Source organism: Homo sapiens, chromosome 8, assembly GCF_000001405.40.
Source record: "Homo sapiens chromosome 8, GRCh38.p14 Primary Assembly".
NCBI classification, from domain to species: Eukaryota; Metazoa; Chordata; class Mammalia; order Primates; family Hominidae; genus Homo; species Homo sapiens.
In genome coordinates this window covers 38,213,544-38,226,199 of record NC_000008.11, presented here as the reverse complement: position 1 = coordinate 38,226,199, position 12,656 = coordinate 38,213,544, and positions in this window count along the sequence as shown.

Sequence of the window (12,656 nt, the reverse complement as noted above, 5' to 3'; positions counted from 1 at the left end):
CTGCCACCAGGAACCACAACGATTCCACTGAACTGGAAATTCAGACTGACACCCAGCCACTTTGGGCTCCTCATGCATCTGAGTCAAAAGGCCAAGAAGGGAATTACTATGTTGCTGGGGTGACTGATCCAGACTATCAAGGGGAAATTGGCCTACTACTCCCTAGTGAAGGTAAGGAAGAGTAAGTGTGGAATATGGGCGGTGCCTTAGGGCGTCTCTCAGTATTACCATGCTCCGAGATTAAGGTCTGTGGGAAACTACAACAACCCAATCTAGACAGGACTACAAATGGCCCAGACTCTTCAGGAATGAAGGTTTGGGTCACCCTGCCAGGTAAAGAACCACAACAACTAGCTAAGGTGCTTGCTGAAGGCAAAGGGAATACAGAATAAGGGTTTTAGCTGGTATTTATAACTAACTTATTCTACAAATGGGCGGTAGTAGTTATAAATACCAGCTAAAACCATGTTACAGAAACAAAGACTGTTTCATTAAGAAACAGTCACATACAGGCTGGGTGTGGTGGCTCATGCCTGTAATCCCAACACTTTGGGAGGCCGAGCTGAGTAGATCACTTGAGGCCAGGAGTTTGAGACCAGCCCGGCCAACATGGTGAAACCCTGTCTCTACAAAAAAATAATAATAATAAAATAAGAACAAAAATTAGCCAGGGGTGGTGGCACACACCTGTAATCCCAGCTACTTGGGAGGCTGAGGCAAGAGAATCGCTGGAACCTGGGAGGTGGAGGTTGCAGTCAGTCAAGATCATGCCACTGCACTCCAGCCTGGGCAACAGAGTGAGACCCTGTGTATTACCCTGTTTTCACAGTGCTAATAAAGACATACCCAAGACTGGGTAATTTATAAAGGAAAGCAGTTTAATTGACTCACAGTTCAGCATAGTGGCGGAGGCCTCGGAAAACTTCCCATCGTGGCAGAAGGGGAAGCAAATACGTCCTTCTTCACATGGCAGCAGCAAGAAGTGCCAAGCAAAAGGAGTAAAAGCCCCTTACAAAACCATCAGATCTCATGAGAACTCACTATCACGAGAACAGCAGCATGGGGGTAACCGCCCCCATGATTCAATTACCTCCCACCGAGTCCCTCTCATGACACATGAGTATTATGGGAACTACAATTGAAGATGAGATTTGGGTGAGTACACAGCCAAACCATATCACTCTGTCTGAAAAAAAAGTCACGTGTGTATATTTATACACACACACACATATACACACACACACACACGCACACACACATATATACTTTTTTTTGAGACAGGATCTCCCTGTCACCCAGGCTGCAGTGTAGAGCTGCATGATCACACAGCTCACTGCAGCCTCGACCTCCCCGGCTCAAGTGATCCTCCCACCTCAGACTCCCAAAGTGCTGAGAGTACAGGCATGAGCCACAGTACCCAGCCATATGCATATATTGAGCAAATATCTGTTTTTATTCCTTATTTCTTTATAATACAACATAAGACATATTGACTTTACATCAACATTTAAGTACTGTTAATTTTACATCATAGTATTTAAGTTATGGGATATCAGGAAAAGAGTAAATATCACCCAAGAACTTCACCTTCTCTTCTCGGGATGGGATTAATGCATTTCTCATTGTACATAGGATAGTTGCATCATGGTAGGCAGAAATAATACCTTGCTATTATCTTTATTTTGAGATTAAATATGGTTTACAGAGATGCATATGGGTGCCAAGTTGATAAGAGGTGGACTTGTGATGCTTAATTTTAGGTGTCAATTTGACTGGATTAAGGAATACCTATAGAACTGGTGAAGCATCACTTCTGGGTGTGTCCATGAGGGTGTTTCTGGAGGAGATTGGAATGTGAGTCTGTGGATTGAGTGGGGGAGATCAATGCAGGAAGGCACCATCCAATCAGCTGGGGTCTCAGAACAAAGAAGACAGAGAAAAGGGCCGGGTGCGGTGACTCATGCCTGTAATCCCAGCACTTTGGGAGGCGAAGTGGACGGATCACGAGGTCAGGAGTTCGAGACCAGCCTGATCAACATGATGAAACCCCATCTCTACTAAAAATACAAAAATTAGCCGGACGTGATGGCGCGTGCATGTAATCCTCGCTATTCAGGAGGCTGAGGCAGGAGAATCATTTGAACCCAGGAGGCAGAGGTTGCAGTGAGCCGAGATCAGTCACTGCACTCCAGCTCTGAGTCTCCAGAGTGAGACTCCATCAAAAAAAAGAAAGAAAAGAAAAAGAAAAGGCGATTTCTTTTCTCTCTCTCGCTCTCCTGGAGCTTGAGACACTCTTCTGACCTTGGACATTAGAACTCCAGGACTTGCACCAGCAGCCTCACATGTTCTCAGGCCTTTGGCCCCAGACAGAATTACACTATTGGCTTCCCTGGTTCTGAGGCTTTCACACTTGGAGAGAGCCACGCTACGGACATCCCAGGGTCTCCAGCTTGCAGATGGCATGTCCTGGGACTTCTCAGCCTCCATAATCACATGAGCTAATTCCCTAATAAATCCCCTGTCATCTCTCTGTCTATACTATTAGTCCTGTCTCTCTGGAGAACTCTAAGAAAATGAATCTATACTTTAATCAAGAATATGAAAGCTACAGCTGTGAGGCAAGATTCTTTGAATCAGGAAACAAGAAGACTTGAGTTTTCAGCTATACCACTTACTGATAAAGTAAGAATGTTAGAATTAGAAGAAACATTAGAGACACCACAGTGATGTTATCTTCCAGCCCAAACTCAGTGGTTTTTATAAGCTCATAAACCAAACATGAAAATGCATTTTATTACTTTACAGCCACAACTGAAAAGTTCCTGCCCTCAACGTGAATAATTTCTCTTAGATATTTCACTTTGAGGAAGGTGATTTATATTTATGATTTCTCTGTCTTACTTAAATGAGGGCCAAATTTGTTTTGAGAGCAAGTAATAGCTTCAGTTGAAGCTGTGCAGCAAGGTGGCTCTCCTCTAGCCCTGGGAGGTTTCCAACAAGCCAAGGTTTCTTCTCAGCTAGGGTTGCCAGACTGAGCAAATGTAAATGTAGCAAATGGAAATATAAAATGTAAAATGTTTAGAAAAAAAACAGGAGAAAATCTCCAGGAACTAGGGGTAAACAATGAGTTCTTAGAGACTTTACACCAAAATCTCCATCCTTTAAAGGAAAAAATGATAAACTGGACATCATCAGAATTAAAAACTTTACTCTGTGAAAGACTCTCTTAAGAGGATGAAAAGACAAGCTACAGACTGGGATAAAATATTTGCAAACTACATATCTGACAAAGGTCTAGTATCTAGAAAACAGAGAACTCTCAAAACTCACTAATGAAAAGACAAAAAAAAATTAGAGCTAAATCTTGGTTTCTACTACCATTCTTCAATTAGAGGACACAGGACTCCTTGGAGAAATAACTGATTCTTGGACTGGAATAGGAAAAATACAGGATGAGCCTGGAGCATCTCACAGTAGCAGAAAGTTTAGAAGGGCTTAAAAAAAAAAACCCACAAAACGATGGGTGTATGTCAGAAGGATAATGGAATCAATGAAAAGAGCTTCCAGTGGCCAAAGTGGAACAATTTGAGCAACAAAATGAATAAGGTAGCATTAGAGCATAACCCAAAGTATAAAATAAATATCCATGAGTCCATACTCAATAAACAAGAGATTAGGTCAATCTTCCTTGTAGGGAAATTCCAAATAATTTATGTAGATATTCCACTCCCAAGGAGATGAAGAATAAGTTCCACACTCCTTAAGTGTACAGCTGTGTATAGTGACTTTCTTCCAGCGTATAGTGTGAAAAATGGACAAAAAAGACTAACTGTATAGTGAAGAAGTCTGACCAACACTACCTCAGCCAGGTGATTAAGGTTAATGTTAACAGTACAAGTCATGTTGATAGCATATGCCCGTGATATGATTGATGAGAAGGGTAAGTCGCCTCTGTGGTCTTCCTCCCCAAAACCCATAGCCCCCATCTAATTATGAGAAAAACAGACAAATCCCAATAGAGGGATGTCCTAAAAAATTACTTTGCCAGTACTCGGCAAAACTGTCAAGGTCATCAAAAACAAGGAAAGCCTAAGAAAGTGTCAAAGCCAAGAGGCCCCTGAGACATGATGACCAAATGTAAGGTGGTATCCTGGATGGAATCTCAGAAGAGAAAAGGGATATTAGGTAAAAATTGAGAAAACTAAATAAAGTATGGCCTTTTGTTAGTAAGAATCAGTATTGATCCATTATGACCGACGCACAACACTGAGTTAAGGTGTTAATAGAGGAAACTGGGTGAGGGGCGTATAGGAATTCTCTGTAGTATCAAGTATCATCACAGTTTTTCTGTAAGACTAAACTATCCTAACATTAAAAGTTTATTAAAATAAACCTAATTAGAAAATAGGCAAAACACTTGCAATATATTTCACAGAAGAGAATATACAGATGGCAAATTAGCACATGAAAAGATATTCAACATCATTAACCATTAGAGAAATGCAAGTTAAACAACAATGACATATCAAAACACACCTATCATTATGGCCAAAATAAAAAATAGTGATAATACCAAATACTGGCACAGATACAGAGAAACTCATACATTGCCTGTAAGAATGTAAAATGGTATAGCCACTCCAGAAAAATATGGCAGTTTCTTTAAGGATTATATGTGCAACTAAAATATGACCCAGAATTGCACTCACAGGCATTATTTCATTTCATAAGAAATAAAAACTCTTTTTTTTTAGACAGAGTCTCGCTGTGTCGTCAGGCTGGAGTGCAGTGGTGCAATCTCAGCTCACTCCAACCTCTGACTCCCTGGTTCAAGCGATTCTCCCAAGTAGCTGGAATTACAGGCACGCGCCACCACACCCAGCTAATTTTTGTATTTTTAGTAGAGACGGGGTTTCACCATGTTGGCCAGGATGGTCTTGATCTCCTGACCTCGTGATCTGCCCGCCTCAGCCTCCCAAAGTGCTGGGATTACAGGCGTGAGCCACCGCGCCCCGCCAATAAATAAACACTTATATCCACACAAAAACCTGTACAAGAATGTACACAGAAGCTTCATTCAACAGCCAAAACCTGGGAACAACCCAGATGTCCTTCAATAGGTGGATGCTTAAACAAACTATAGCACATCCATACTACAGATAACTACATAGGAATAAAAAAAGAACAATTGGCTGGGCACAGTGGCTCATGTCTGTAATCCCAGTATATTGGGAGGCCAGGATGGGAGGATCCCTTGAGCCCAGGAGTTCGAGACCAGCCTGGGCAACATAGTGAGACCCCAAATCTATAAAAAATTAGCCAGGAGTCGGCTGGGTGTGGTGGCTCACGCCTGTAATCCCAGTACTTTGGGAGGCTGAGGTGGGCAGATCACCTGAGGTCGGGAGTTTGAGATCAGCCTGACCGACATGGAGAAACTCTGTCTCTACTAAAAATACAAAAAATTAGCCGGGCATGGTGGTGCATGCCTGTAATTCCAGCTACTTAGGAGGCTGAGGCAGAAGAGTCGCTTGAACTCGGGAGGCGGACGGAGGTTGTGGTGAGCCGAGATCGTGCCATTGCACTCCAGCCTGGGCAACAAGAGCGAAACTCTGTCTCAAAAAAAAAAAATTAGCCAGGAGTAGTAGTGCACACCTGTAGTCCCAGCTACTCAGGAGGCTGAGGTGGGAGGATCACTTGAGCCCAGGAGTTTAAGACCACCCTGGGCAACATGGTGAGATCTCAAATCCACAAAAAATTGTTAAAAATTAGCCAGGAGTGGTGGTGCACGCCTATAGTCCTACCTACTCAGGAGGCTGGGGTGGGAGGACCGCTTGACCCCAGGCGGTTCAGTCTGTGGTGAGCTGAAATCACACCATGGCACTCCAGCCAGGGTAACAGAGCAAGACTCTGTCTCAAAAAAAATAAATAAATAAAATAAATAATGATTTATACAGAAAACAATTGAGATGAATCTCAAGATAATTATGCTGATCGAAAAAAAAAAAAGTCAAGTCTCTAAAGGCTTACATTCTGTATGATTTTACTTACATAACATTCCTGAAATGACAAAATTTAGAAATGAAGAACAGACTAGTAGTTGCCAGGGTTTTAGTGTAGGGGGAGAGGGGAATCATGTAGTTATAAAAAGGTCAACAGGAGGGATAAACAGCAGTGATGCATCTTTATATCAATTTCAGTATCCCGGTTGTAACTTTGCAGTAAAGTTTTACATTTTACCCACCAAGGGAAACTGGGTAAAGGGTACATGAAATCTCTGCAGTACCTTTTTTTTTTTTTTTTTTTTTTAAAGACAGTTGCCCAGGCTGGAGGGCAGTGGCACCATCATGACTCACTGTAACCTTGCACTCCTGGGCTTAAGTGATCCTCCTGCCTCGGTCTCCTGAGTAGCTGGGACTACAGGCACATGCCACATAACGCCTGGCTAATTTTTAAATTTTTTTGTACAGACGGGGTCTCACTATGCTGCTCACACATGTAAGCCACTGTGCCTGGCCTCTGTATTATTTCTTAAACTGCATGTAAATCTACAAGTACCTCAAAAACTATAATGTAAAATATACAGCGAAGTACAGTGGCTCACACCTGTAATCCCAGCACTTTGGGAGGCTGAGGTGAGCGAATTGCTTGAGCTCAGGAATTCGAGACCAGCCTGGGCAACATGGCAAAACCCCCATCTCTAAAAAAAAATACAAAAATTAGCCAGACGTGGTGGAATGCACTTGTAGTCCCAGCCATTTGAGAGGCTGAGGTGGGAGGATTGCCTGAGCCTGAGAGGCAGAGCTTGCAGTGAGCTGAGATCATGCCACTGCACTACAGCCTGGGTAATAGAGTGAGATTCTGTCTCAAACAATCAACCAACCAACCAAACAAACCAAAAACAGTACTCCTAGTTAAATTTGAATTTCAGATAACAAATCATCTTTTAGTATATGTATTTCCCAAACATTGCATGGATCATATTGATATTAAAAATGATTTATTGTTTGAAATTCAAATTTAACTGGGAATTCTGTATTTCATCTGTCAATTCTACTCTTGGTCTTAGCCAATTTTGGAAATATATATTGCAAAATAAAAGGACATTTAGGGGTTGGCTGAGAGAAAATGTGCCATGATCCCAGAAGCACCTAAATCCTCACTCGCAGCTGGTCCTTACTCTGCCTTCCACTTATCATGACAAATGTGGTCACTACTCCCCATGAGAAAAGCCAGAATGTAAAACCTTCCTGTTTTCATATAAGAGTGAAAATCATGCAGCTAGCCTCCTCTTCCCAATTTCAGACTTAAAATAGCTATCCGCTCCAAGAAAGATTATAAAAAAGTAATTAAGCAGAATAGTCAAGAAACATTTTCTAAAGGTAATTTTGGCACCTGTAATCCCACAACTTTGGGAGGCCGAGATGGGAGAATCATTTGGAGCCAGGAGTTCGAGATCAGCCTGACCAATATGGCAAAACCCCATCTCTACTAAAAATACAAAAATTAGCTGGGCGCAATGTCACACGCATGTAATCCCAGCTACAAGGGAGGCTGAGGCACAAGAATCGCTTGAACCCAGGAGGCAGAGGTTGCAGTGAGCCAAAATTTCACTACTACATTCCAGCCCGGGTGACACAGCAGGACTGCGTCTCAAAAAAATAATAATAAAAATAATTTTGGGTCTCTAGAGTAACAAAACCATACTTCAAAGAATACAAGGCCAGGCATGGTGGCTTATGCCTGGAATCCCAGCATTTTGGGAGGCTGAGATGGGTAGATCACTTAAGCCCAGGAGTTCAAGACCAGCCTGGGCCACATGGCAAAACCTCATCTCTATAAAAAATACAAAAATTAGCTGAGTGTGGTGACGCATGGCTGTAGTCCCAGGTACTGGGCAGGCTAGGGTACAATCAATTGAGCCTGGGAGGTTGAGGCTGCAGCAAGCTAGGATCACACCATTGCACTCTAGCCTAGGCTATGGTATAAAACCCTGTCTCCAAAATAAAATAAATACACACACACACACACACACACGAACACACAAGCAAGAACAGGCGTGGTGGCTCATGCCTGTAATCCCAGCACTTTGGGAGGCCGAGGAGGGGGGATCACCTGAGGTCAGGAGTTTGAGACCAGCTGACCAACATGGAGAAACCCCGTCTCTACTAAAAATACAAAATTAGCCGGGTGTGGTGGCACATGCCTGTAATCCCAGCTACTGAGGAGGCTGAGACAGGAGAATCTCTTGAACCCGGAAGGCGGAGGTTGCAGTGAGCAGAGATCATGCCATTGCACTCCAGCCTGGGCAACAAGAGTGAAACTCCATCTCAAAAAAAAAAAAAAAAAAAAAAACAAAAAAAACGGATATCTGAGAAATACCTCTAACGTGATAATGTGATAATGACAAAGACTAAAAGAAAAAAGCAATTTTGAGGAAATCCATTATTCGAAAGAAGAAAACACCAAGAAATCATCATTAATATCCTCAGAGATACAAGATGCTCCAACTGTAAACAAAAGCAGAATCTCATAAAGGAACCCAGCAAACAAAAATATCCTTGGAAGTTAAAAATATGATAGGGCCAGGCGCAGTGGTTCATGTCTGTAATCCTAACACTTTTGGAGACTGAGGCAGGAGGATCACTTGAGGTCAGGAATTCAGGACCAGGACCAGCCTGGGCAATATAGTCAGATCCTGTCTCTAAAAAAATGGTGTGTGTGTGTGTGTGTGTGTTTTGAGACGGACTCTCACTGTGTCGCCAGGCTGGAGTGCAGTGGCGCGATCTCAGCTCACTGCAACCTCCGCCTCCTGGGTTCAAGTGATTCTCATGCCTCAGCCTGAGTAGCTGGGATTACAGGCATGTGCTACCATACCCAGCTAATTTTTATATTTTTAGTAGAGACGGGGTTTCACCATGTTGGCCAGGCTGGTCTCGAACCCCTGACCTCATAATCCACCCGCCTCGGCCTCCCAAAGTGCTGGGATTACAGGAGTGAGCCACTGCAACTGGCCAAAAGTTTGTTTTTTTGGTTGTTTGTTTTGAGATGGAGTCTCGCTCTGTCGCCCAGGCTGGAGTGCAGTGGTGCGATTTCAGCTCAACTGCAAGCCCGCCTCCCGGGTTCACATCATTCTCCTGCCTCAGCCTCCCCAGTAGCTGGGACTACAGGTGTCTGCCAGCACACCTGGCTAATTTTTTGTATTTTTAGTAGAGATGGGGTTTCACCATGTTAGCCAGGATGGTCTCGATCTCCTGACCTTGTGATCCTCCCGCCTCGGCCTCCCAAAGTGCTGGGATTACAGGCGTGAGCCATCACGCCCAGCCAATTTTTTTTTTTTTTTTTAATGATAGAAGAGGCTGGGCATGGTGGCTTATGCCTATAATCCCAGTACTTTGGGAGGTGGAGGTGGGTGGATCACTTGAGGTCAGGAGTTCAAGATCAGCCTAGCAAACAGGGTGAAACCACATCTCTACTAAAAATACAAAAAATTAGCCAGCGTAGTGGTGGGTCCCCATAGTCCCAGCTACTCGGGAGTCCAAGGCAGGAGAATTGCTTGAACCTGGGAGTTGGAGGTTGCAGTGAGCTGAGATCACACCACTGCACTCCAGCCTGGGTGACCGAGTGACAGTCTTTCTAAAAAAAAAACCAAAAAAAAAGATGGAAGAAATGTAAGACACAATGTTTTAGAAGTCAGAAGAAAAAGTTCGCCAGGCATGGTAGCTCATGCCTGTAATCTTAGCACTTTGGGAAGGCAAAGTGGGTGTATCGCTTGAGCTCAGGATTTCAAAACCAGCCTGGGCAACTTAGCAAAACCCTGTCTCTACAAAAAAATACAAAAAAAATTAGCCAGTTGTGACGGTGTGCACCTGTAACCCAGCTACTCAGGAGGCTGAGGCAGGATGATCAACTGAACCAGGAAGGCAGAGGTTGCAGTGAGCAGAGATTGTGCCCCTGAACTCCAGCCTGGATGACAGAATGAGACCCTGTCACACAGAAAATAAAAATAAAAAGTGATAAAGTTGTATAAATCTCCTACAAAGTACCACAAAAAGGCAAAACATTAAAAAAAAAACAAACAAACAGAAAACATAAGAAAATTAAAGAACCAGTCTATGAGGCCTACAGTCAAAACAGTAGTAATTCTAGAAAGTATTAACAGAGAAGACTGGGATGGAGGAAAGAGGGAAATTAACAAACAAACAAAAAATCAAAAAATTTCACAGGACTTAATGGTATGAGTTGCCAGAATGAAATGGCCCCAGCAAAACGGATAAAAATGGACCTAAACCAAAGCTATTCTTAGGAAATTTCAGAACAAATGGGGCCCCCCCAAAAATTCTATAAGCTTCTAGAGAAAAATATCAGGTTTTATACAAAGGATCTTGAATCAGAATGGCATATGCTTCTCAACAGCAATTCTGGAATCTACAAGACAATATAACAATGCCTTCAAAATCCTTAAGATAATCATTTCCTAGAATTCTATACCCAGCCAAACTATCAATCCATTGGCTAGGTGGAACAGACATTTTCAAATATGCAAGATCAAAATAAATTATTTCCCATGCACCCTTTTCCAGGAAGCACCTGGAGAATATGCTCCACCAAATGACGGAATAAACAAAAAGAGAAAGACATAGGATACAAAAAACAGAAAACCAAAAGAAGAGACAAAAAGAATCCACAGCATGACCCTATGTACTATGCCAGGAACATACTAGTTTTCCAGTCAGAAGGGTTCAGGATAGACTCTTCAGAAGTTTGAAATTGATAAAATATTTATATATATATATTATATATATTTATATTATATATATTTTAAATATATATTATATATTAAATATATATTACATATTTAATGTATATTTAATATTTTAAATATATATTTCTAATATATATTTATATGTTTTATATATATATATTTATTTATTTTTTTTTTTTTGAGACGGAATCTCACTGTTGCCCAGGCTGGAGTGCAGTGGCACGATCTCAGCTCACTGCAACCTCCACCTCCTGAGTTCAAGTGATTCTCCTGCCTCAGTCTCCCAAGTGGCTGGAATTACAGGCATGCGCCACCACACCCAGCTAATTTTTGTATTTTTAGTAGAGATGGGGTTTTGCCATATTGGCCAGGAGGATCTCCTGACCTCAAGTTGTCTACCCACCTCAGCCTCTCAAAGCAGTAGGATGACAGGTGTGAGCCACCGCGCCCAGCCAATATTAATAATTTTTAATCATTTTGTATTTATCTTAATTTTTTAATTTTTTTTTTAAATAGAGACGAGGTCTCACTATGTTGCCCAGGCTGGTCTTGAACTCCTGGGCTCAAGCAATCCTCCCGCCTTGGCCTTCCAAAGTGCTGGGCATACAGGCATTAGCCACCATGCCGGGCCTTGTCTGAGCATCTTGAGAGACTTAGACGACTGAGAGAAGGTCAAATCAGTCTTAGGTAGATAAGCAAACAAAACAAATATGACAGATGATTAATTCCAGGGAAAACAAGTTGTTAGGAAAGGAAAAGTAATCAGGTTACTATATAGCTAAACTCTCCTTAGCATTTACATAGTCAGGATAACGTACAATGAAACTACCAAATAAGTATATTGAGGACAGGTGTGGTAGCTCACATCTGTAATCCCAGCACTTGGGAAGCCAAGGAGGGAGGATCACTTGAGCCCAGCCAGGCATTTGAGACTAGCTTGGGTAACATGGCAAGACTCCATCTCTACAAAAAATTACAAAATTAGCCAGGTGCCATAATGCATGCCTCCCAGCTACTGGGGAGGCTGAGGCGGGAGGATCCCTTGGGCCCAGGAATTTCAGGCAGTAGTGAGCCGAGATCATGCCACTGCACTCCATCCTGGGTGACAGAGCAAGACTCTGTCTCAAAAAAAAAAAAAGTAAAGAAAACATATATATATATATATAGAGAGAGAGAGAGAGAGAGAGAGAGAGAGAGAGAGAGAAAGAGAGAGAGAGAGAAACCTGGAAACCTGGCCAGGCACAGTGGCTCACACCTGTAATTCCAGCACTTTGGGAGGCCAAGGTGGGCAGATCACCTGAGGTCAGGAGTTCGAGACCAGCCTGGCCAACATGGTGAAACCCCGCCTCTACTAAAAATACAAAAATTAGCTGGACGTGGTGGTACATGTCTGCAATCCCAGCTACTCAGGAGGCTGAGGCAGGAGAATGGCTTGAACCTGGGAAGTGGAGGTTGCAGTGAGCCGAGATCGCGCCATTGCACTCCCACCTGGGCGACAGAGCAAGACTCCGTCTCAAAAAAAACATAAAAACTCAGTTGAAGCTGGTTGAGGTGGTCCATGCCTGTAGTCGCAGCTACCCAGGAGGCTGAGGCAGAAGGATCACTTGAGCCCAGGAATTTAAGACCAGCATAGCAAGACTCTTGTCTCTAAAAACAAAATTTTTTGATTAACAAAAGAAAAACTCAGTTGAAAGTGGTTGCCTTTAGAGAAGGAGAAATGGGGGTGGGATCAGGAGAATGCTGCCTTTCATAGAACTGACTTTTTAAACTCGTAACTTCTACGAATTGAGGTAAACTCCTTACTTTTTTAAAAAAATAAGTAAAAAAAAGTAAAGTTGTAAAAGAAAAGCTCCATCAACTATCCATCCCCCAAAAACTTTTTTATGCCTATTTA